At 44.9% G+C, this 26,672-nt stretch overlaps 1 long non-coding RNA gene across 1 annotated transcript in view, besides 1 other annotated feature; it reads left to right on the top strand.

The window, feature by feature from the left end:
- IDH2-DT (IDH2 divergent transcript) overlaps positions 1-26,672 on the top strand; it is a 31,441-nt gene that overhangs the window by 2,871 nt on the left and 1,898 nt on the right. The window lies entirely within an intron of this gene.
- Positions 16,585-17,084: an enhancer, noted in NCBI's record as "H3K4me1 hESC enhancer chr15:90664819-90665318 (GRCh37/hg19 assembly coordinates)". NCBI's record gives its function as "activates a minimal SCP1, AML or CMV promoter by ChIP-STARR-seq in naive H9 embryonic stem cells {active_cell/tissue: H9 hESC(naive)}" and the evidence as "EXISTENCE:reporter gene assay evidence [ECO:0000049][PMID:30033119]".

Raw genomic sequence — 26,672 nt, forward strand, 5'->3', positions numbered from 1 at the left:
TATGATCATGGCTCCCTGAAGCCTCGACCTCCCGGGCTCAAGTGATCCTCCCACCTTAGCCTCCTCAGTAGCTTGGACAACAAGAACATGCAACCATGCCCGGCTAATTTTTTTTCTGTTACTTTTTGAAGGAGAAAGAGGGAGAAACCACAGCCCCTATTTATTGTGCTGGTCTGGAATTCCTGGTGATGGTAACTATTGGCCCTGAAAGCTGCTGCAGAGAAAGATGGTGTTTAAAGGAAAGGGGCTCAGATCCTCCCATCTGGGGTCAGTGGAATTGAAAATTTCCACCCCTCCACATTTTCAATCAAACCCCAATTTGTCATTGAATTTAGGTCACGTGCAAGTTCCCTGTGGAGGCACAAAAATTTGTATCACTCCGTCCCCACCCTCTGGGAGCCAGACACACATGTATACAATCACCATAAACCCAGGCACAAGAGAAAAATGTCTGCTGGGCGTGGTGGCTCACACCTGTAATCCCAGCACTTTGGGAGGTCAAGGCAAACTCCTTGAGCTCAGGAGTTTGAGACCAGCTTGGTCAGCAGAGTGAGACCTTAATCTCTATTTTAAAAAAAAAAAAGAAAGAAAGTGTCCCAAGAGGAGTGTAGATGACGCTTGAAACATCTGGCAAGGAGAAAAGCACCTCGGATGCAGGGGCCCCTGGAGAGCCTGGGGGAGGAGCGTCCATCTAGCTGCCTCTTCAAAGAGCTCTGAGGTCTGGGGGGAGGCCGGACAGGACAGCTGGGAGCAGTCAGGGACTCACATTTCTTTTTCTTTTTTCTTTGGAGACAGAGTCTTGCTCTGTTGCCCAGGCTGGTATGCAATGGTGGGACTCGGCTCACTGCAACCTCTGCCTCCGAGGTTCAAGCAATTCTCCTGTCTCAGCCTCTCAAGTAGCTGGGATTACAGGTACGCACCACCATGCCCAGCTAATTTTTGTATTTTGAGTAGAGATGGGGGTTTCACCATGTTGGCCAGGCTGGTCTTGAACTCCTGACTTCAGGTGATCAGCCCACCTCGGCCTCCCAAAGTGCTAGGATTACAGGCATGAGCCACCACGCCCAGGCTCTTTTATTTTATTTTATTTTATTTTATTTTATTTTATTTTATTTTTGAGATGGAGTCTTGCTCTGTTGCCCAGGCTGGAGTGCAGCAGTGTGATCTCAGCTCAGGGCAACCTCTGCCTCCGAGGTTCAAGTGATTCTCTTGCTTCAGTCTCCCAAGTAGCTGGAATTACAGGCACAAGCCACCGCACCAGTCTTTTTCTTTCTTTCTTTCGAGACAGGGTCTCACTCTTTGCCCAGGTTGGAGTGCAGTGGTGCAGTGGTGCAGTGGTGCAATCTCAGCTCACCGCAGCCTCGACCTCCCAGGCCCAAGCAATCCTCCCTCCTCAGCTTCCCGAGTAGCTGGGACTACAGGTGCATGCCTGGCTAATTTTTGCATTTTTTGTAGAGACAGGGTTTCAGCATGTTTCCCAGGCTGTTCTGGAACTCCTGGGCTCAAGTGATCCTCCCACCTTGGCCTCCCAAAGTGCTGGCATTACAGGAGTGAATCCCGCGGGGACTCACATTTCATCCAGCCAACATTCCAGGGCATTCGTTTTGTGGTGTGCAATAGGCAGACAGTAACATTTGGCAACAGTGGTGAGAGGGTATTGGGATAGAGCCTGGGGAAGGGAGACAAGAGTTCCTGAGCTAGGGACAGGCCTGACACAGGGTGCTGGCGGAACCCCCAAGAGAGGCAGGACTCCAGAGATGGTATAGAGGAGATAGAATCAGCAGGAATTGTAGCTGGTTTGACATGGGGCATGGCCGGGGGAGGAGTCAGAGTGACTCAGACTTCCATCCCTGGGGCTGGAAGAATGGCACAGCCATTATTAGAAATCAGAGAATAGGAGGAGGAGAGAGTTGTGGGAGAGGCGTTGACAGCAGAGCTATTTATGGTCATCTCCAAACTTATTTCCCTGCCAGCTGTCTGTGCCCCCTCCCCCACCCAATCTGCCCTACCTGCTGCTTCCAGCACTGTCCTCCCAAAGCCCAGTCCTGAGCAGCTACTCCACAGCTCAGATACCCACAGGAGCTTCCCACGCCATACACAAGCAACTCTGAACAGCTTCTAACAGTCCATGGCCTCCACCTCCCTCTCTTCTCGTCTGCTATTTCCCCCTCCCCAGGATCCCTAAATGTAGCATTCTCCTGAATTGTCACTGCCTCGGTGCCCTCGCGTTGTCCCCTCCCTCCACCACACAGGTTCTGTACTGCCCACAGCCAGACCCAACTCACACTTGGTGGCTGCTATGGACTGAGTGTTTTTTGGCTTGTTTGTTTCTCTTTTTTTTTTTTTTTTTTGAGATGGAGTCTCACTTTGTCACCCAGTCTGGAGTGCAGTGGCATGATCTCAGCTCACTATGACCTCCACCTCCCAGGTTCAAGCAATTCTCCTGCCTCAGCCTCCTGAGTAGCTGAGATTACAGGTGTGCACCACCATGCCCAGGTAGTTTTTATTATTTATTTTTATTTATTTTTATTTTTTGAGATGGACTCTTGCTCTGTCGCCAGGCTGGAGTGCAGTGGCGCGATCTCAGCTCACTGCAACCTCCACCTCCCGGGTTCAAGAGATTCTCCCGCCTCAGCCTCCCAAGTAGCTGGGACTATAGGCACCCACCACGACACCCGGCTAATTTTTGTATTTTTAGTAGAGACAGGGTTTCACCATGTTGGCCAGGATGGTCTCGATCTCTTGACCTTGTGATCCGCCTGCCTCGGCCTCCCAAAGTGCTGGGATTACATGCGTGAGGCACTGTGCCCAGCCTGAGTTTTTGTATTTTTAATTCTCGAGGTTTCACCATGTTGGCCAGGTTGGTCTTGAACTCCTGACCTCAAGCGATCCTCCCACCTCGGCCTCCCAAAGTGCTGGGATTACAGGCGTGAGCCACCGTGCCTGGCCTGGACTGAATGTTTGTGTCCTCCAAAATTCATATGCTGAAGCCCTAAGCCAGTGTGATGGTGTTTGGAGGCAGGGTCTCTGGGAGGTAATTATGTCATGCCTTCATAAATGGGATTAGTGCCCTTGTAAAAAGAGACAGGTGAGAGATCTCTCTCTGCCACATGAGGTCATAATCAGGAAGAGGGCCATCACCAGGAACCGAATCAACCAGCACCTTGATCTTGGACTTTTTAGACTCCAGAACCAACAGAAAAAAAATTCTGTTGTTTATTTTTTATTTTATTTTATTTTATTTTATTTTATTTTATTTTATTTTATTTTATTTTATTTTATTTTATTTTTTGAGATGGAGTCTCATTCTGTCGTCCAGGCTGGAGTGCAGTGGCACAATCTCGACTCACTGCAACCTCCACCTACTGGGTTCAAGTGATTCTCCTATCTCAGCCTCCCGAGTAGCTGGGATTACAGGCGCACACCACCACACCCAGCTAATTTTTGTATTTTTAGTAGAGACGGGTTTTCATCATATTGATCAGGCTGGTTTCAAACTCCTGACCTCAGGTGATCCGCCCACCTCGGCCTCCCAAAGTGCTGAGATTACAGGTGTGAGCCACCGTGCCCAGCCGATTCTGTTGTTTAAACCACCCAATCTGTGACATTTTTGTTATAGCATCCTGAACTAAGACAATGGCCAAGTCCAAGCCCACCTTCACAAGCCTGCACCGAGGGTAGGGGGCTGCAGGGACAACAGCATTCATTCACCTGAGTCATCACGTACGGTATCCAACCCCCCAGACCCCTCCAATAAAAGAGCACAAAATCTACTCTGATTTTAGCTTTGGAAAATGGACATCAATGGGGTTCAGAAGCAAATTTGAAAGATTTTGAAATACTATTTAATTTCTTGAAATTTTATCTCATCATTTAAGTTAATCCTAAAAATTCCTAATATTAATAAAACTAGAGAGCCAAGAGCCATTCTCAGTGGCACACACCTGTAATCCCAGCTACTTGGGAGGCCAAGGCAGGAGGATTGCTTGAGCCCAGGAATTTGAGGCCAGCCTGGGCAACATAGCTTAATCCAAGTAAAAACCAGAGAGCCAGAGTTGGGGCCACGGGAAATGATGAAAAGTCATTACAAAGAACCAGGTGCTGGCCAGAAGCAGTGGGTCATGCCTGTAATCCCAGCACTTTGGGAGGCCAAGGCGGGTTGATCACGAGGTCAAGAGATCAAGACCATCCTGCCCAACATGGTAAAACCCCATCTCTACTAAAAAAAAAAAAAAAACAAAACAAAACTAGCCAGGTGTGGTGGTGAGTGCCTGTAGTCCCAGCTACTTGGGAGGCTAAGGCAGGAGAATAACTTGAACCTGGGAGGCAGAGGTTGCAGTGAGCTGAGATTGCTCCATTGCACTCCAGCCTATTGACAGAGCAAGACTCCATCTCGGGGGAAAAAAAAAAAAAAAAAAGAACCAGTTGCAACATTATCATGTTGCAGCAGATTCCTAGAGTATACAGATTTCATCCAATTTGCAGAAATAATTTATATGATTCAAAGTCTCATTGCCTGGGCAAGTCAGTTAACCTCTCTGAGCCTCAATTTCCTCATCTGCAAAATGTGGATAATAACAGCACCTACTCCTAGGGTAATTCTGAGAATTAAATGAACTCACGCAGATAAAATGCTTAGAATGGTGCCTGGCACACACTGAGGGGATCTGCTGCTAGTGATATTAATATTATCAGATCATTCACATCTACAATGCAACAGGTTTTTTGTTGTTGTTGTTGGTTTTGTTTTGTTTTGTTTTGAGACAGAATCTTGCTCTGTCACCCAGGCTGGAGTGCAGTGTGTACGATCTCGGCTCACTGCAACCTCCACCCCCCAGGTTCAACCAATTCTCCTGTCTCAGCCTCCCGAGTAGCTGGGATTACAGGCATGCGCCACTATGCCGGGCCAATTTTTTGTATTTTTTTATGGGGTCTAGCCATGTTGGCCAGGCTGGTCTCGAACTCCTGACCTCAAGTGATCCGCCCGCCTTGGCCTCCCAAAGTGCTGAGATTACAGGTGTGAGCCACTGCACCTGGCCTACATGGCACCAGTTTACTGAGCCCCTATGACATGCCAGTCCTGACCCAGGAATGGACAAGAGGGCACATTCCTTTCCTGAGAGGACCTCAATCCACTGAGAAACATGGGGAAATGAATGTGTCAATAGATATTTCAAAACAGTGGATTAGCCAGGCGCGATGGCTCATGCCTGTAATCCCAGCATTAAAGGAGGTCAAGAAGGGAGGACCGTTTGAGGCTAGGAGGTTGACACTGCAGCCATATTTGTGTCACCACACTCCAGCCTAGGTGACAAAGTAAGAACATGTCTCAAAAAAGAAAAGAAAGAATGAAAGAGAGAGAGATGGAGGGAGAGAGGGAGGAAGGAAGGAAGGAAAAGGGGAATAGGAAGGAAATGTAATGGTGGTTACATGTTATTACATTGTCAAAACCCCTAGAACTGTACAACACAATGAATGAACCTTAATGTAAACTATGGACTACAGTTAATAATAATATATCAATATTTTTTCATCGATTATAATAAGTATAACAAGGGTAAAATATTAATAGGAGAGACTATGAAGGATGGGCTAGGGTAGTAGGATGGGTATATAGAACTTTATGTATTACTTTGCTCAATTAGTCTGTAAATCTCAAACTGTACTATTAATAAAAAACAAAGTATTAATTATTTTTCATACTTTTTTCAAAAGGCATTAACAATAGTCTAATGATGCAGGGCATTCCTTTTGAGCAAGGAAAGAGGAAGGTAAAATGATTTAAATAGTTACCCTTGTGAGATTTTGATTTGTGGTATGTTTATGAAGTGTTGGACAAGGGGTGAGGGTTTTGGATTTGAGACATAGAATGATGCCAGGCATGGTGGCTCTCACACCTAAAATCTCAGCACTTTGGGAGGCCAAGGTGGGAGGATTGGTTGAGGCCAGGTGTTTGAGACCAACCTAGGCAACACAGCAAGATCCTGTCTCTAAAAAAAAAATACTTTAATTTAATTCAACATAAAAAAATAAAAAGAATGGGCTGAGTGCAGTGGCTCATGCCTGTAATCCCAGCACTTTGGGAGGCTGAGGCAGGCGGATCACATGAGGTCAGGAGTTCGAGACCAGCCTGGCCAACATGGCGAAAACCCATCTCTACTGAAAGTACAAAAATTAGCTGGGTGTGGTGGCAGGCAACTGTAATCCCAGCTACTCTGGAGGCTGAGGCAGGACAATCGCTTGAACCTGGGAGGCAGAGGTTGCAGTGAGCCAAGATCGTACCACTGCACTCCAGCCTAGGCAAAAGAGTGAAACTCTGTCTCAAAACATAATAATAGGCCGGGCGCGGTGGCTCACACCTGTAATCCCAGCACTTTGGGAGGCCTAGGCGGGCGGATCACGAGGTCAGGAGATCGAGACCATCCTGGCTAATATGGTGAAACCCCGTCTCTACGAAAAATACAAAAAATTAGCCAGGCGTGGTGGTGGGCGCCTGAAGTCCCAGCTACTTGGGAGGCTGAGGCAGGAGAATGGCATGAGCCTGGGAGGCGGAGCTTGCAGTGAGCCGAGATTGCGCACACTGCACTCCAGCCTGGGTGACAGAGCAAGACTCCATCTCAAAAAAAAAAAAAAATAATAATAATAATAACAACAACAAAATAAATTAATTAATTAAAAGAATGGAATAAAATATAAGGAAGACATCAAAAAAAAAAAGAATGAGGTAGGTCAATATTTTCTGACATCAAAAGATGTTCTGTGTGCCAGGTGTGATGGCTCACACCTGTAATCCCAGCACTTTGGCAGGCCAAGAAGGGTAGATTGCTTGAGTCCAGGAGTTTGAGATCAGCCTGGGCAAAATGGTGAAACCTAGTCTCTACAAAAAATACAGAAATTAGCTGGGCATGGTGGAATGCACCTGTGGTCCCAGCTACTCGGGAGACTGAGGTGAGAGGATCACTTGAACCCAGAGACAGAGGTAGTAGTGAGCTGAGATTGCACCACTGCACTACAGCCTGGGTGACAGAGTGAGAGAGTGAGACCCTGTCTCAAAAAACAAACAAACAAACAAAAGTTACATGATATAATAAATAAAAGGAGAAAATTGCAGAGAAGTAACTGTATGTAAGCACACACACATACATGAAAAATTGAAGGCACTTAAGCCAAAGAGTATGAGGGAGGAGTGAGATTACACAAGACTCTCAATTTCTACTTTATACAATTCTGTGGGGTTTGAATGTCATGTAACAAGCATCTATTACTTTTATAACCAGAAAAAAAAATTGAGATATATATTGTTTATTTTAAAAACAGACACAGCCAGTCTCAGTAGCACGTGCCTGTAATTCCAGCTACTCGAGAGGTGGAAGGATCACCTGAGCCTGGGAGGCAGAGGTTGCAGTGAGCCGAGATCATACCACTGCACTCCAGCCTGGGCAACAGAGTGAGACCCTGTTTTAAAAAAAAAAAAAAAGTGGATTTAAATGTAATACAGTACAAAATACTCATTGTTTCAAATTATATCTTGCAAGTAACTTTTAAGAGACTAGCACTTGTGCATTTTGTTACAGAACATGAGTGCAGTCAGTTCTCTGTATCCAAAGGGGTCTGCATCCATAGATTCAACTAACCGTGGATGAAGAATATTCAGACAAAAGATTGCTTCTGTATCGAACATGTACAGACTCTTTTTCCTTATCATTATTTCCTAAACAATACAGTATAACAACTATACAACTATTTACATTGTATTACATATTATAAATAATCTAGAGATGATTTAAAGTATACAGACAGGGCTGGGTGAGGTGGCTGATGCCTGTAATCCCAGCACTTTGGGAGGCCGAGGTGGGCAGATCACCCGAGGTCAGGAGTTTAACACCAGCCTGGCCAACATGGTGAAACCCCGTCTCTACAAAAATACAAAAACTAGCCAGGCATGGTGGCGGGTGCCTGTAATTCCAGCTACTTGGGAGGCTGAGGTGGAAGAATCACTTGAACCCAGGAGGCGGAGGTTGCAGTGAGCTGAGATCCTGCCACTGCACTCCAGCCTGGGCGACAGAGCAAGACTCCGTCTCTAAATAAATAAATAAATAAAGTATACAGACAGATATTTGTTGGTCATATGTAAGTACTACACTATTTTATATCAAGGACTTGAGCATCCTGAGATTTTGGTATCCACAGGAAGTTCTGGAACAATCCTCCATGGATACCAAGGGATGGTTATATTCTCAATATCTGAAAAAACTATGAAATACTCGCCCCGCCCCCCGCCCCGGCCTTCCTTTTGCAGCTGTGTGAGGCTGGGTTTTCTTCATATACTTCAACCCAAACAGCATAATAGCAACACAAATGCAGAAGCAGCTATGAGAATCCAGCTACTTTCATTAAGTCAGATATTGAGAGAACTGCAAAAATGTAAACAATGCAATTCTTCTCATGAAGTTTTTTTTGGAAACTGTAGTTATTTTTAAATAAATTTTTTTTTTCTTTCTTTGAGATGCAGTCTCCCTCTGTCGCCAGGCTGGAGTGCAATGGCACGATTTCGGCTCACTGCAACCTCTGCCTCCCACATTCAAGCGATTCTCCTGCCTCAGCCTCCCAAGTAGCTGGGACTACAGGCGTGTCCCACCACGTCCAGCTAATTTTTATATTTTTAGTAGAGATGGGATTTCACCATGTTGGCCAGGATGGGCTCAATCTTTTGACCTCGTGATCCACCCATCTCGGCCTCCCGAAGTGCTGGGATTACAGGCATGAGCCATCGCGTCCGGCCTAAATAAATATTTCTAAAACATATTCGTTTCTAACTTTTAACTCAGTAAATATGCTTATATATAACCCATAACTGCAAAACCTCTTTGGAATCCTCAAAAACAATGTCTGTAAAAGGATGCCAATAAAACCACCTCTGCAAAAATTACAACAGTGAGAGAAATATAATATAACTGACTTCATCTTGCTTCTAACCTCACAAGCTAACTGCCCTTGCTCATTCCTGGGCATAGGCCAAGCTAAGTATGGGACGAATTTTGTTTATAGTTTAACCTTAAAGCAAGGGTTAGCCTGGCGCAGTGGCTCATGCCTGTAATCTAAGTACTTTGGGAGGCTGAGGCTAGAGGATCACTTGAAGCCAGGGGTTTGAGACCAGCCTGGGAAACAGAGTGAGACCCTGTTTCTACAAAAAAATAAAATAAAAAAAAAAGAGAGCGAGAGAGAGAAAAGAAAGAAAAGAAAAGAAGGATGATAATAATCCTTTCCCAAAACTAACCCCCATCATGTTTGGGACTGAAACCGCGTTTGGAAAGCTAATGAAAGACCTCGAATTTAGAATCATGGGAGGGGTCTGAATTATGCTAACCTGTAAACATACTTGCTTTTCTATAATCACTTACTGCTCAGCAGCCATATAGATTTGTAACTGCTGGAGGTCACAAGATTTGCAACTTCCCTAGTTGTTCCTGTAGATAACATCACTATTGTAAACCTAAGGCTGGTCTGAGATATTTCTCACACTTTTGCATTCTGGCAGACCAGCTGACTTCACTCAGACCCATGACCCACACCAACGGACTGACTCCACCAGTCCTGTGGCCCCATCCAGAAACTGACTCAGCACACCAAACAGTTTAAACATTCCTATTATTTCATCTCCAGCCAATCAGCAGCACCAATTCCTTAGTCCCCTGACTGTCAAATTGTCCTTAAAAGCCCTAGCCTCTGAGTTCTTGTTGAGATGGATTTGAGAAACATCTCTGGTCCTCTTTGCTCAGCACCCTATGATTATTAAACTCTTTCTCTACTGCAACACCTTCTGTTTCAACATATTGGCTTTTTCTGTGTGGCAAGGAAGAAGAACCTGTTGGGTGGTAACACCGAAATAAAAACATTTGAGAATAATTATACTAGAAGAGAGTAATTGCATCTCAACAAAAATGGAGGCCACATTATCACACACAAGATATTTAATATTTATACATGTCAAAAGACAAAATTACAATAAATTTATAATAAAGATCTCAATTTCCTTTATGTGTGATTCTAGAATCAGGCAACACTTTATTCCATAAAACAGAATAAGTGTTATAATGAGCTGAGCAGAGAAGGTTGGCTTTTTTTTTTTTTTTTCTTGAGACAGGGTCTCTGTCACCCAGGCTGGAGTGCAGTGACATAATCACAGCTCACTGAAACCTCAATCTCCTGGGCTCAAGTGATCCTCCCACCTCAGCCTCCCCAGTAGCTGGGACTACAGGCATGCAATACCATGCCTGGCTGATTTTTTTGTTCTTGGTAGAGATGAGGTCTTACTATGTTGTGCAGGCTGGTCTTGAACTCCTGAGCTTAGGCAATCCTCCTGCCTCAGCCTCCCAAAGTGCTGGAATTACAGGCATGAGCCACCATACCTGGCCATGGAGATTGGCCCTATAGACAGAGAAGGGCTGAAGAAAGCAGAAACAAAGAACAAAGAGTGCATTACAGTTGAGCCTTCAACAACACAGGTTTGGACTGTGCACTTCATTTATTTGTAGATATTCTTCTTTCTTTTTCTTTTTCTTTTCTTTTTGAGACTTAATCTCGCCCAGGCTGGATTGCAGTGGTGCGATCTCAGCTCACTGCAACCTCCGCCTCCCACATTCAAGTGAATCTTGAACTAATTCAAGAGAATCGCTTGAACCTGGGAGGCAGAGGTTGCAGTGAGCTGAGATTGCACCATTGCACTCCAGCCTGGGCGACAGAGCGAGACTCCATCTCTAAATAAATAAATTCATTAAAATAAAATCAAATTACTGTTTCTTGTAAGGCAGGGAAAGGAAGACAGAACAAAATAAAAATAACTGATTAGTTAACAGCAGATTATTTTAGGTTACTTTTTTTGTGTAAGGACTTTATTATATCAAGTAAAGATTTAAACAGATCTGTTTGGGAAATCCGCTGTCTCTTCCTTCTGATTTCTTCAAAGGTCAACCAACAATTTATTGTAGGTGTGGTGAAAATGGAACTGTAGCATGGGTGACTCCATTTTGATTTTCAGTCTGGTCTGTTAGGGCCTAGCCCAGGAACTTTGTCCAAAATAATGGGCTTCTATAATTTTTATTTAATATACCGTATAATATATAGTCCATATTAAGTTTTCCCAAATTGTCCCAATAATTAATGTAAACATATTTTTAAATTACAAACACATAGGATTTAGGAGCTGTCTTTTTGATAGTGATTTTATGTTTTATTGCACTGGGTCTTGCTAAAGAAAAAATGATTCATGATGCTTGTTAAAGATGGCAAGGCAGGTTTTATCCAAGGTGAGCTATGGTGATAGGTTTAGGGACCACTGTGATGGGGTCTTGTAGTGGGGGAGAGAGTGGACTCAACTCCAACTCCAACAAGGACAAGTGGGGATCTATAACCAAGGAGCGGGGGGTTGAGTATCAGTGGATGGAAAACTACTAAAAAGAAACATCGAGGATAAAAGGGCTTCTGTTCTGGCTAAACTGACTGATAGCATTATTGCTGAAGGCAGGCCAGGGTGATAAGATATCAAAGGGGGTCAGATACCAAGGTTGGGGCCTGCCTTCCTTCTTTTTTCCTTCCTTCCTTCCTTTCCTTTCCTTTAATTTCCCCTTTCCTTGTTCTTTTCCTTTCCTTTCTTTCTTCTTTCTTTCTTTTTTATTGAGACAGGGTCTCACTCTGTCACCCAGGCTGGAGTGCAGTGACACGTTCTCGGCTCACTGCGGCCTCGACCACCTGGACTCAGGCGATCCTCCTGCCTCAGCCTCCGAATCGCTGGGACCACAGGCATGCATCCTAATTTTTTTGTATTTTTTATACAGATGGGTTTTCGCTATGTTGCCCAGGCTGATGCACCCACCTTGGCCTCCCAAAGTGCTAGGATTACAGGCGCAAGCCACCGTGCCTGGCCTAGATTTTGTTAAACTGACTTAGCTGGTCATTTGCTCAAACTGGATTCTACAAAGATAGAGAGGGAAGCCCGAGGTCAGGCCTATGGAGGCAGAGGACTCAGAGGAGGCTGACTGAAGTTTTGGCCAAAGGGAAGTCTTTGTTAGTTTATAATTTGTCCTCTTTGACATGTATTGACTCTTCTTTGGTGGTCCAATGTGTGGTCAAATGTGTAAGTTCCAGGTGTTTTGGTTTTGTTGTTGTTTGACATAAGGTCTCACTCTATCACCCAGGCTGGAGTGCAGTGGCATGATCTCGGCTCACTGCAGCCTCGACCACCTGGACCCAGGCAATCCTCCCACCTCAGCATCCCAAAGTGCTGGGATTACAGGCGTGAGCCACTGCACCTGGCCTTTGTTTGTGTTTTAAGAGATAGAGCCTTGCTATGTTGCCCAGGCTGGGCTTGAATTCCTGGGCTCAATTAATCTTCCTGCCTCAGCCTCCCAAGTGGCTGGGACTACAGGTTCATACCACCACACCCAGTTCTAGGTATTCTTTTATTTATTTTTTATTTGATTTATATATTTTTTTTCTGAGATGGAGTCTCGCTCTGTCACCCAGGCTAGAGTGCAGTGGCCCGATCTCGGCTCACTGCAACCTCTGCCTCCCAGGTTAAAGTGATTCTCCTGCCTCAGTCTCTGAGTAGCTGGGATTACAGGCATGCGCCACCATGCCTGGCTAATTTTTGTATTTTTAGTAGAGACAGGGTTTGCCTATTTTGGCCAGGCTAGTCTCGAACTCATGACCTCAGGTGATCTGCCCACCTTGGCCTCCCAAAGTGCTGGGATTACAGGTGTGAGCCACCGCATCCAGCCCTAGGTATTCTTTTTGTTGTTGTTGTTGATTTGTTTTGTTTTTTAGCAGAGACAAGGTCTTGCTATGTTGTCCAGGCTGGTCTTGAACTCCTGGACTCAAGCAATCCTCCCACTTCAGCCTCCCAAAGTGTTAGGATTACAGGTGTGAGCCACTACACCCAATCTTTTCCGATTTTTTTTTTTTTTTTTTTTTTTTGGCAGGGGGAGATGCATTAGAGTGCAGTGATACGATCACAGCTCATTGCAGCCTTGACCTCCTGGGCTCAAGCAATCCTTCCACCTCAGCCTCCCAAGTAGCGCCACTGAAATCTATGTTCTTGTAAGTTTTTATAAGCTATTTGTTTCTAAGAGAGGTGTTAAGACTGCCCAGTGTGATTGTGGATGTGTTCATTCCTCTTGGTAATTCCATCCATTTGTGCTATATATATTATGAAGTTTTCTTAAGTGTTATGCTCATACCTGTTATATTTTTCTAGTAAATTACTCCTTTTATCATTAAATAATGATTCTCTTTATACCTAAACTTGCGTTTTGCCTTAAGATTTATTTTGAACTATTGTATATTGCTACACCAGCTTTACTTTGGTCCGTATTTGCCTGATACAACTTTTTTCATGCCTTTTACTTTTAATTTTTTATGTTACATATTTTATGTGTATCCACACATAGCTGAGTTTTGGTTTTGTAACATACTTTGAAAGTCTGTCTTTTTTTTTTTTTTTTTGAGATGGAGTCTTGCTCTCTTGCCCAGGCTGGAGTGCAGTGGCACAAGCTCGGCTCACTGCAATCTCCGCCTCCAAGGTTCAAGTGATTCTCCTGCCTCAGCCTCCCCAGTAGCTGGGATTACAGGTACGAACCACCAGGCCCAGCTAATTTTTGTAGTTTTAGTAGAGATGGGGTTTCACCATGTTGGCCAGGCTAGCCTCAAACTCCTGACTTCGTGATCTGCCTACCTCGGCCTCCCAAAGTGCTGGGATTATAGCCGTGAACCACTGTGCCCAGCTGAAAGTCTTTGTCTTTTATAAACATATTTACACTGTTCACATTTATGGAGATTGCTGAATATTTTTTACATTTCTATCACTTTATTTTGTACTTTCTATTTGCCATGCTTTTCTTTTGCTTATCTATTTATTTATTTATTTTGGAGACAAGGTCTCACTCTGTTGGCCAGGTTGGAGTGCAGTGGTGTGACCGTAGCTCACTGCAACTTCAGGCTTCTAGGTCAAGGGATCCTCCCACCTCAGGCTCCCAAGTAGTTGGGACTATACGCCCATGTTACCACGCCTGGCCTTCTTTTGCTTCTTTTCACATCCTTTTAAGCTTTCTATCGGATCAGCCAAGATTTCTTTATTCTCCTCTACCTCCCTTACTGGTATGGAAATGATATGTTCTATTTCTACCTGTTTAGAAATTAAATTCAGACTTGGGAACCCACATCTATAATCTCAGCACTTTGGGAAGCTGAGGCAGGAGTATCACTTGAAGCCAGGAGTTTGAGACCAGCCTGGGCAGCATAGCAAGACCCTATCTCTACCAAAATTGAAAAACAATTAGCCAGATGTGATGGCACACACCTGTAGCTACTCAGGAGGCTGAGGCAGGGGGATCCCTTGAGCTCAGGTCAAGGTGGCAGTAAGCCATGATCACACCACTACACTCTAGCCTGGGTGGCAGAGCAAGACCCTGTATCAGAAAGAAAAAAAAGAAAAAGAAAGAGAGAGAGAGAAGGAAAGAAGGAAAGAAAAGAAAAGAAAGAAAGAGAAAGAGGGAGGGAGGAAGGGAGGGAGGAAAGGAAAGAAGGAAGGAAGGAAGGGAGGAAGGAGAAAGAAAAGAAAAAGGGAAAGGGAAGGGAAGGAAAAATTAAATTCTTGACTTTACAAAGTTTAAAACTCATTATTTTATTTATCCTTCTTAAAAATATGAGAAACTTAGATTATTTCTCTCCAATTCTCCCATCTTTCATGTTATTAGTCCATAATATTTTAGTTCCAGTGGGAGTTCTAAGCCTCCTCATTTTTCTTTTCAAGTAGATGTATAAACATGTTTGCACCTTTCTTTCTTTTTTCATAGAGACAGGGGTCTTCCTATGTTGCCCAGGCTGGTCTCAAACTCCTGGGTTCAAGGGATCTTCCCACCTCAGCTTCCCAAAAGTGCTGGGATTACAGGTGTGAGCCACCCAGCCATGCCAGTTTCTTTACTCAGCATTGTGTCTTGAATTTCACTCCTGCCTCCTGGGTTCAATTTCCTAATAACTGAAAGGTGTCATTCAACAGGTCTTTTAACAAAAGTCTGTGAGAATTAAGTTTCTCTGTTTCAACTTGTTTTATTTTACTCTCACTGCTAAGGTCTAAATGTCTCACAGAATTCATGTATTAAAATTTAATGGCTGGGCCAGGCGTGGTGGCTCACACCTGTAATCCCAGCACTTTGGGAGGCCAAGGCGGGCAGATTACTTGAGGTCAGGAGTTCAAGACCAGACTGGCCAACATGGCAAAACCCCGTTTCTACTAAAAATACAAAAAAAAATAGCCAGGAGTCATGGTGCATGCCTGTAATCTCAGGTACTCTGGAGGCTGAGGCAGGAGAATCACTTGAACCCGGGAGGCGGAGGTTGCAGTGACCCGAGATCCTGCCACTGCACTCTAGCCTGGTCAACAGAGCAAGACTCCATCTCAAAAAAAAAAAAAAAAAAAAATCAATGGCCAGTGAGATGGTATTAAGAGGTGAGGCCCTAAAGGCTGAGACAGGAGAGTCGCTTGAACCTGGGAGGCGGAGGTTGCAGTGAGCCAAGATCGCGCTGTACTCCAGCCTGGGCGACAGAGCGAGACTCCGTCTCAAAAAAGAAAAGAAAACAACATTACCTGCAACCCAGAAACCATCCTTAAGTTCTCTCTTAGACATTATTTTTCCAAATTCCCCAAAGGTCACTACTACTATCCTAACTTCTACTAAAATGATTGATTTTGCCCATTTTTATTTTTGTGTAAATAAAGTCATACAGTATATACTCTGTTGTGTCTTTTTCTCAACATTACATTATAAACTTCATTCATGTTTTTGCATGTAGCTGTAATTTACTAATTCCGTTGCTATCTAAAGTTGCATTTTATGAACCTGCCATAATTTATTTCTACTATTTGCATTCTACTATTGATGAACATCGGGTGTTTACAGTTTGGGGCTATTACTAACGATGCTTCTATGAACGTTCTTACACTTATCTTCTGTACATATATACAAAATTCTGTGGAATAATACTTATGAGTGAATTACTGGGTCATAGGACGTACACATACATATATAAAGTGTTCAGTTTTAATAGACACTGCCAACTTTTCAAATTGATTGTCTAATTTATATTCTACCAGCAAAGTATGAGAGTTTCAGTTTCTCTACAGCACTGATAACAGCATTGTCATTCTTTTCAGCTTTAGTTATTCTGGTGGGTGTAGTGGGAGCTCAGTGCGATTTTTAAATTGCATTTCCCTGGGGACTAATGAGATTGAGTTCCTTTTCATATGCTTATTAGCTATTTGGATATTCTCTCGTGAAGCACCTGTTTCAAATCTTTTGCCTGTTTTTCCATTGGCTTTTCTGCTTGTTTGTGATTTGTAGGAGTTCGATATACATTTTTTTTCTTTTTTCTTTTTTTTTTTTTTTTGACGGAGTCTCGCTCTGTTACCCAGGCTGGAGTGCAGTGGCGCGATCTCAGCTCACTGCAACCTCTGCCTCTCAGATTCAAGCAATTCTCCTGCCTCAGCCTCCTGAGTAGCTGGGATTACAGATGTGCACCACCACCCCCAGCTAGTTTTTGTATTTTTAATAGAGACGGGTTTTGCCATGTTGGCCAGGCTGGTTTTGAACTCCTGACCTCAGGTAATCTGCTGCCTCGGCCTCCCAAAGTGCTGGGATTACAGGCATAAGCCACCACGCCCAGCCTTGATATACATTTTGATATGAGTCTCCTTATTTATGTATTTATTTATTTATTTTGAGACAGAGTCTTGCTCTGTCACCCAGGCTGGAGTACAGTGGCGTGATCTCAGCTCACTGCAACCTCCATCTCTCAGGTTACTCAAGTAATTCTCCTGCCTCAGCCTCCCAAGTAGTTGGAATTACAGGCACACGCAACCATGCCCAGCTAATTTTTTTTTTTTTTTTTTTTTTTTTTTTTGGTAGAGATGGGGTTTCACCATGTTGGTCAGGCTGGTCTCGAACTCCTAACCTCAAGTGACCCACCTGCCTCAGCCTCCCAAAGTGCTGGGATTACAGGCATGAGCCACCACGCCCAGAGTCTCCTTTTTGGATGTATGTGTTGCAAATGTCCTCTTACTCAATGGCTTGCTTTATTTTTTTAACACATCTTTCGATGCACAAAAACTCTTAATTTTAATGTAGTCCAACTTATTGACCTGAGAAAAGAAAAATAGCTCAGAACAGTCTGAGCTATGTGAAATTGTATACAAAATTGATCAGGCCCAGAGAGACTTGAGTATGGGACTTCAGTCACAGCTCCCCAGGCCCTCCCACATTCAGGCCTGGGGCACCTGTTTAAAGGCCTTTTTTTTTTTTTTTTTTCCTTATCTGTTATCTTCATGTCCTGGAATTCCTGATACAAAAAAAATCAATGGATAGCCAATCAATAGCTTATATTATTTTAATGTAAATTCTTGGTAGACCATTTAGGGACTGCTTCTCCTTTTTTCCTTTAAAAACCCATCTGTAAATATTGCTAATTGGAGCATTTATTCAGGGCAACTTGAATCTGTGCTCCCAGGTTGCAGTCCTCAACTTGGCCCAAATAAACTCTCTATTTGTATAAATGATTTTCCCTCAGTTTTTTCCTCTAGGTCGACATATCTTTTGTTTATTTGTTTGTTTGTTTGTTTTTTGAGATGGAGTCTTGCTCTGTTGCCCAGGCTGGAGTGCAGTGGCATGATCTCAGCTCACTGCAACCTCTGCCTCCCAGGTTCAAGTGATTCTCCTGTCTCAGCCTCCAGAATAGCTGGAATTACAGGCATTTGTCACCACGCCCAGCTAATTTTTATATTTTTAGTAGAGACAGGGTTTCACCATGTTGGCCAGGCTGGTCTCAAACTCCTGACCTCAGGCGATCCACCTGTCTTGGCCTCCCAAAGTGCTGGGATTACAGGTGTGAGCCACCACGCTCTGTCAACATATCTTTTATGTTTATTATTTCTATGTCCTATGTAATAAATCTTTTCCTATCCCAAGATTGTGAAAGTATTCTCCTATAGTATCTTCTAGAAGACTTATGCCTTTTTGAAAACTCCTATAGGCCGGGCGTGGTGGCTCACACCTGTAATCCCAACACTTTGGGAGGCCGAGGTGGGCGGATCACGAGGTCAGGAGATCGAGACCATCCTAGCTAACACAGTGGAACCCCATCTGTACTAAAAACACAAAAAATTAGCCGGGCGTGGTGGCATGTGCCTGAAGTCCCAGCTACTCGGGAGGCTGAGGCAGGAGAATCGCTTGAACCCAGGAGGTGGAGTTGCAGTGAGCCAAGATTTCGCCATTGCACTCCAGCCTGGGCAACAGAGTGAGACTCTGTCTCAAAACAAACAAACAAACAAACAAACAAAAAACTTCTATAGTATCTTCCTAAAGTACAGAAGCTTTAGGCTTTTTTAAAACTTTTACAATGATACCTATAATTAATCTAGAATTGATTTGTATCCACCCTGATTTCAGGTATGTTTAAATGTGAAAAACAATGTGTTCTCAAGAATTGATAAAAGTTATTTTTTTAGCCCTCATCTGTTACTTAACACTTTAGGGCATTTTTCTTTGCCATTAAATATTCTTCTACAACATATTTTTAAATTGTAAATTGGCAAATTACCATTGTATATGCTATGGGTTACAAAGTGATGTTATGGGCTGGGCACCAGTAACTTAAGCACTTTGGGAGGCCAAGGTGGGAGGATTGCTTGAGTTCAGGAATTCAAGACTAGCCTGGGCAATATTGTGAAACCCCCATCTCTTAAAAAAAAAAAACAAAAACCAAAGTGATGTTATGATTTATGAATACAATGTAGAAAAATTAAATCAAGCTAATTAACATATCTGTTACCTCAAATTCTTATAATTTTTGTAGTGAGAACATTTGAGATTTACACTTAGTGACTTTGAAATGTACAGCACATTATTATTTACTATATTCACCATGCTGTGCAATATATCTCAAAGAAAAAAACTTATTCCTCCTGTCTAATTGAGGATTTGTACCCTTTGACTATCATTTCTCCCAAGGTTTTGTTTTGTTTTGTTTTGTTTTTTTACTAGCAGCCTAATAGTCCATTATATTCCTCTCACTGGAGCAGGGGCTCTGGAATCAGTCAGGTTAATATTCTGTCCTCACCTCTTAGGAACTATGTAACTTTTACCTTTTTTTTTGAGACGGAGTTTCACTCTTGTTGCCCAGGCTGGAGTGCAATGGCGCGATCTCGGCTCACCACAACCTCCGCCTCCCAGGTTCAAGCGATTTCCTGCCTCAGCCTCCTGAGTAGCTGGGATTACAGGCATGCACCACCACGCTTGGCTAATTTTGCATTTTTAGGAGAGACAAGGTATCTCCGTGTTGGTCAGGCTGTTCTCTAACTCTTGACCTCAGGTGATCTGCCCGCCTCAGCCTCCCAAAGTGCTGGGATTACAGGCATGAGCCACCGCACGTGGCTGAACTATGTAACTTTTGACAATAATTTTACTCTCTAGGCTTTAGCTCTTATGGGAGATGGCCAGGTCTTGAACTGAGTTAGTTTCATAGTTGGATCTCAACCCCTAATTGATTGAGTTAGAAGCCCTACATCAACTGAAATAGTGGATCATTAACTCTAGAACAGTCTTATTTACTCATAAAAGTCTCCTAAAGACCTAGGATAGGTCACATTTTGAGAGTCCACAGTTTTATCTACTGTGACTAAGAACAATAAAACTACATGAAACAATGCCCTGTGGTGTTTAAAAGCTGTAGTCAGGGTTGGCAGCATGAAGGAGTGGCAATTGAACCACTTAATTAAATTCCCTTATCAGATGATCAGATTATTGTTTATCAGTAGAGCTAGTGATTAAGTGAGGCCTCCAACCTTGTCCTAGCTGGTTGCCTTGGGAGAGTTTCCAGACTTCTCCGTGGCTCACTTTATCATCATCTGTAAAATGGGTAGAGTAACAGCTTAGTACCAACCTCATAGTAATGTGCTGGTTAAAATATACTCAGCTGGCTGGGTGCGGTGGTTCATGCCTGTAATCCCAGCACTTTGGGAGGCCAAGACGGGTAGATCACCTGAAGTCAGTAGTTTAAGACCAGCATGGCCAACATGGTGAAACCCCGTCTCTACTAAAAATACAAAAATTAGCCAAGCGTAGTGATGCACACCTGTAATCCCAGCTATTCGGGAGGCTGAGGCAGAAGAATTGCTTGAACCCAGGAGGTGGAGGTTGCAGTGAGCTGAGATAGCACCATTGCACTCCAGCCTGGGCAACAAGAGCGAAACTCCGTCTCAAAAAATAATAGTAATAAATAAATAGTACTCAGCTGGCTGGGTGTGGTGGCTCATGCCTATAATCCCAGCACTTTGGGAGGCCAAGGAGGGTGGATCACTTGAGCTCGGCAGTTCAAGACCAGCCTGGCCAACATGGTGAAACCTTCTCTACTAAAAATACTAAAATTAGCCTGGCATGGTGCCATGTGCCTGTAATCCCAGCTACTGGGGAGGCTGAGGCAGGAAAATTGCTTGAACTTGGGAGGTGGAGGTTGCAGTGAGCTGAGACTGCACAACTGCACTGCAGTCCAGCCTGGGCGGCAGAATACAATTGTGTCTCAAAAAAAACAAAAAACAAAAAACAAAACTCAACTGAAGATGGACGCAACATGTGATAAGTGATGAATAATGGCCACCATCATTCTCATCTCTGGCTGGGGTAGGACTAGTGAGATCGGGACGTGTAAGGTAGCTCACTCAGATATTGGGTTAGGGAGACCCAAAAAACTGCAGTGGAACTCAGGCGCTGTTCATGTGGGGCAGATGGCTAATACTGAAACTCACAAGAAATGGCTAACAACAAACTTCCTAGAAATCAGTTTGTTTGGGCCAGGTGCAGTGGCTCACGCCTGTAATCCCAGCACTTTGCAAGGCCAGGGTTGGTGGATCACATGAGGTCAGGAGTTCAAGACCAGCCTGGCCAACATGGTGAAACCCCATCTCTATTAAAAAATACAAAAATTAGCCAGGGATGGTGGCACGTGCCTGTAATCCCAGCTACTTGGTAGGCTAAGGCAAGAGAATCACTTGAACCCAGGAGGCGGAGGTTGCACTGAGCCAAAAAGGCTCCACTGCCCTCCAGCCTGGGTGACAGAGCAAGATTCCGTCTCGGGGGAAAAAAAAAGAAAGAAATCAGTTTGTCCAATGAGGTGCTGGCAAATGTTTAACAACCAGCTCCAGTGCGGGGGGTGTGTGTGTGTGTATGTGTGTGTGTGTGTTTGCTAACTTGTAGCATTTGCTGATTTCGGTAGTGTAAATATTTCCACCATGGCCAATTTCAAACTACCAACACAGCATCACTGAACAGAGTTGTATATTTCCATCTATAATATTTCCACCATATAGATGCAACAGACATAAATGTCCTCAAATGCATAGATACTAGTAAAATATAGTAAAATAATTAGAAAGTGATGAGTTTGAGTCTTTTAATATAATCATAAGTTTATATAACTTAATTTTTAATAATGGCTATGTGTAACAACTGGCTTGCAAAATTCTTGAGAATTTAACAGTTGGCTCTCATGAGCCTGTACAAGCTGGCTCCAGACACCACTCCAGCCACCCCATGTCTCCTTTTGGATCTTGTGGAGTATAGCCCAGGACGTGGCAACTGCACAAGAGCTTAGGGCAGCTTCAATATCCTTCTTAGGGACTCCTTCCTCTGGCAATTGTGTCCCCCTCCTGGAGGACACAGCCCCAGAGGTGACCTTTTCCCTTCCAGGCTCCAAGCTGTTTAACATTCTCATCCACCAGCACCTCCCCCCACTGCAGGGCGGCTATTTCAGGAATGCCGGGACGTGCACGTAGGGCATCCTGGCCAGCCACTTGCTGGCCAGCCACTTGCCGAATGCACCCTGTCAGGTGCTCACAAGGTCGTCCAGATGGCTAGAAAGAGAGCAGCAGCCTTAGGAAGGGGCTGCCTGCTCCTAGGCTCACAGCCCCTTGATACTTGCATTCTCTAATTAGGAATGCCTTGGCCAACAGACCCTAGAAGTCCACTGCCCTCGTGTATTTCAAAACCTGGATCCAAACTACCATTTCTTAGTTTCATCTCACTTCTGCCCATTGCTTCTCTACCCCTGCAAGTGACAACAGAGACAGTCATAAATAATGTTGGCAACTTCACGCACGGAGTGCTTGCTCTAGAATTATCCTATTTAATCCTCATAACAACCCTATGAAGTAGGTACTATTTTTATCCCAGTTCTGTAGATGAGAAGTCCAAGACTTGGGGTGGTATGTTAACTTGCCCACAGTCATATAGAAGGACTGTCTGGGGAACCCAAGTGTCTTAATCAGTGTTTTTTCTTTTACTTTTTTTTTTTTTTTTTTTGAGATGGAGTTTTGCTCCTGTTGCCCAGGCTGGAGTGCAATGGTGCAATCTTAGCTCACTGCAACCTCCACCTCCCAGATTCAAGTGATTCTCCTGCCTCAGCCTCTCAAGTAGCTGGAATTATAGGCACCCGCTACCATGCCCAACAAATTTTTGTATTTTTATTTTATTTTATTTTATTTTGAGACACAGTCTCGCTCTGTTGCCCAGGCTGGAGTGCAGTGGTGTGATCTTGGCTCCCTGCAAGCTCCTCCTCCCAGGTTCACGCCATTCTCCTGCCTCAGCCTCCCAAGTAGCTGGGACTACAGGTGCCCGCCACCACGCCTGGCTAATTTTTTGTATTTTTAGTAGAGACGGGATTTCACCGCGTTAGCCAGGATGGTCTTGATCTCCTGACCTCATGTTCCGCCCGCCTCGGCCTTTCAAAGTGCTGGGATTACAGGTCAGCCACCGCGCCCGGCCAAATTTTTGTATTTTTAGTAGAGACAGAGTTTCACCATGTTGGCCAGGCTGGTCTCAAACTCCTGACCTCAACCTCAGGTGATCTACCTACCTTGGCATCCCAAAGTGTTGGGATTACAGGCATGAGCCACCGTGCCTGGCCCTTTTTTTTTTTTTTTAGATGGAATTTTCGCTCTTTTGTTGCCCAGGCTGGAGTGCCGCGTCGCGATCTTGACTCACTGCAATCTCCACCTCCCAGGTTCAAGCGGTTCTCCTGCCTCAGCCTGCTAAGTGGCTGGGATTACAGGCACACACCACCACACCCAGCTATTTTTTTTTTTTTTGTATTTTTAGTAGAGATGGGGTTTCACCATGTTGGCCAGGCTGGTCTCAAACTCCTGACCTTGTGATCGGCCCACCTCAGACCCCCAAAGTACTGCGATTACAGGTGGGAGCCACTGCACCCGGCCTATCAGTGTTTTTTCTTTTTCCTTCAACTGTCTTTCTTTACACAGTATCCTTGTTCCACACGTGATTATTTTGCATCTTTGACATGTTGCTTATTACTAAACATTCTCAGCACAGAGGCAGTAGTAGAAGCCATGAGTCTGATAAGTTTGCTGAAGGAGAGAGTGTGCTATGAGGACGGATCGTTGACAAGACCCTGGAGGACACAAGGACCTAAGAGCCCCTAAGAGGAGACAGAGAAGGTGCTGTCCCACAAAGTGCAAGATGTCCCAGGAGAGAGGTGTCCAGGGGATGACTGTGCGGGGGAAGCTCCGAAGTGGACAAGTCAACGAGCACCGGAAGGTGTCCCAGGGATCTGGCAATCAAGAGGCCATCAGTGAGCCAGGCAGGGTCTGTTTCTTCATTTCTTTGCCAGTGGGTGAGGAGGCTGTAGCAGGGAAGGCAGGAGACCCCATAGGTGGGTGGAGGAAAGGCAGGGAGGTCACAAAGTAGGGCCAGCCAGTGTAGACTTCCCTTCCAAGAAGGAGAAAGACGGAGAGAGACACTAGGTGGAAGAAGGGCTTTTGGGATTTGGGTTTTAGTTTTAGCTTTTTGTTTTTGTTTTTGTTTTTTAAAAAACACAGTTTCGGCAGGGCGCGGTGGCTCACGCCTGTAATCCCAGCACTTTGGGACGCCAAGGCGGGGAGATCACAAGGTCAGGAGATCAAGACTACCCCGGCCAACATGGTGAAACCCCATCTCTACTAAAATAAAATAAAATAAATTAGCCAGGAGTGGTGGTGCATGCCTGTAGTCCCAGCTACTCGGGAAACTGAGGCAGGGGAATTGTTTGAACCTGGGAGGCAGAGGTTGCAGTGAGCCGAGATCCTGCCACTGCACTCCAGCCTGGCAACACAGCGAGACTCCGTCTCAAAAAAAAACAAACAAACAAAAAAAACAAACATAAACACAGTTTCACTCTGTCGCCCAGGCTGGGGTGTAGTGGTACCATCTTGGCTCACTGCAACCTCCACCTCCCAGATTCAAGCAATTCTTGTACCTCAGCCTCCCAAGTAGCTGGGATTACAGGCACATGCCACCATGCCTGGCTATTTTTTGTATTAGTAGAGACGGGGTTTCACCATGTTGGCCAGGCTGGTCTCAAACTCCTGACCTCAAGCGATCCACCTGCCTCAGCCTCCCACAGTGTTGGGATTACAGGCGTGAGCCACTGCGCCCTGCCGAAACTGTGTTTTTTTAAAAACTAAACTAAGGCACCAGGCCTTAGTTTTAGTTTAGTTTTGTTTTAAGCTGGGAATGCCCTTAGCAGATTTCTATGCTGAGGAAAGGGAGCTAGTAGAGGTGAGGCTGAAGATGCTAGCAAGAGGACAGTGATGGCTGACACCATAGATGTAGGGGGATCGAAGTCCCAGACCAGAGAACACTCCCCTGCCCTCCTGGTTTGGTGGGAGCTAGATGGCTCCTGCCTTGTGGCCTGTATTTTCTCGAAGGAGGTGGCAGAGGGTGAGGGAATGAGTAGTTGGGGGACTGAGGATAGTGGAGGAGGCGTGTAACAGCCAGTCTGAGAGGAAAAGAGAAGGGGTTGCCAAGAGAAACAACTGAAATAGGAAGTAATACAGATGCTCCTCGATTCGCAAGGGGCTACAGCCCCATAAACCTGTTGTATGTGGAAAATGCATTTAATGTGGACAGCACAGCAGACAGTCCCCCGACTGATAATGGTTTGATTTCAGATGTTTCAACTTTATGATGGTGTGAAAGCATTACACTTTCAGTAGAAACCATAACCCCATCGTAAGTCATAAGGAGTTCTTTGACTTAGGTTGGGGCTACATCCTAATAAACCAATCACAAAGTTGAAAAATCCAGAATGGAAGCATTGGAAGTTGGAGACCATCTGTACAGGTGCAGTGGGACCATCTCTGCAGGTGTCAGGGCCCCAGCAGCTGAGACTAGACTTGGCAGATGCTGATTATGGGTTCGGTCTGCAGCCCATAACCTTGTCCATTGTCTCCTTTTTTACTGCTTTTGCCACCAGAGAAAGACACTCTCCCTCCAGGTTCTGGGAACCGCTCACCATGGCCCCCCATTTAAAACTCCACGAGGCTGGGCACAATGGCGCACACCTGTAGTCCTAACTACACAGGAGGCTCAAGCAGGAGGATGGCTTGAGCCCAGGAGTTCTGGGCTGTAGTGCACTGTGCCAACCGGGTGTCCACACTATGTTCAGCATTAATATGGTGACCTCCCAGGAGCGGGGGACCAGCAGGTTGCTTAAAGAGGGGTGAACCGACCCAGGTCAGAAATGAAGCAGGTCAAAACTCCTGTGCCGATCAGCAGTGGGATCCTGCCTATGAATAGCCACCACACTCCAGCCTGGACAACATAGTGAGACCCTGCCTCTAAAATAAATAAATAAATAAATAAATGAATAAAGGCTGGGCGCAGTGGCTCACACCTGTCATCCCAGCACTTCAGCCTTTCGACTCTTGGACAACATAGTGGTTTGCCAGGGGCTCCCCAGCCTTTGGCCACAGACTGAAGGCTGCGCTGTCAGCTTCCCTACTTTTGCAGTTCTGGGGACTGAGCCTCTACTGGCTTCTTTGCTCCTCAGCTTGCAGCCAGCCTATCATGGGACTTCACCTAGTGATGGTGTGAGTCAATTCTCCCTAATAAACTCCCTTTCGGCCGCGCACGGTGGCTCATGCCTGTAATCCCAGCACTTTGGGAAGGCGAGGCAGGCAGATCACCTGAGGTCAGAGGTTCAAGACCAGCCTGGCCAACATGGTGAAACCCTGTCTCTACAGAAATACAGAAATTAGTCGGGCATGATGGTGGGTGCCTGTAATCCCAGCTACTTGGAAGGCCAAGGTGGGAGAATCACTTGAACCCAGGAGGTGGAGGTTGCAGTGAGCTGAGATTGCGCCATTGCACTCCAGCCTGGGTGACAGAGTGAGACTCAGTCTGAGAAAAATAAAAAATAATTTAAAAAAAAACTGTTTCATACATACATCTATCCTGTTAGTTCTGTCCCTCTAGAGAACCCTCACTAATCCACTCACTTTCTTAAGATCACTTAACATGCATAGTAACCCCCCATACAAAATAAGGAAGTTAGTCATTTTGCCCAGAACAGAGCAGGACTCCCAGTTCCAGGTCAGTGATTATCCCATTTTGTCACAGGATGTACCACAAGATCCCCTGAGGCTTCCTCTTATTTGATCAAATAGAAAATACACTCTTAGAGGCGGGGCACGGTGGCTCACGCCTGTAATCCCAGCACTTTGGGAGGCAGAAGCAGGCGGATCACGAGGTCAGGAGTTTAAGACCAGCCTGGCCAACATAGTGAAACCCCGTCTCTAC

Source organism: Homo sapiens, chromosome 15 (assembly GCF_000001405.40).
Source record: "Homo sapiens chromosome 15, GRCh38.p14 Primary Assembly".
Taxonomy (NCBI): Eukaryota; Metazoa; Chordata; class Mammalia; order Primates; family Hominidae; genus Homo; species Homo sapiens.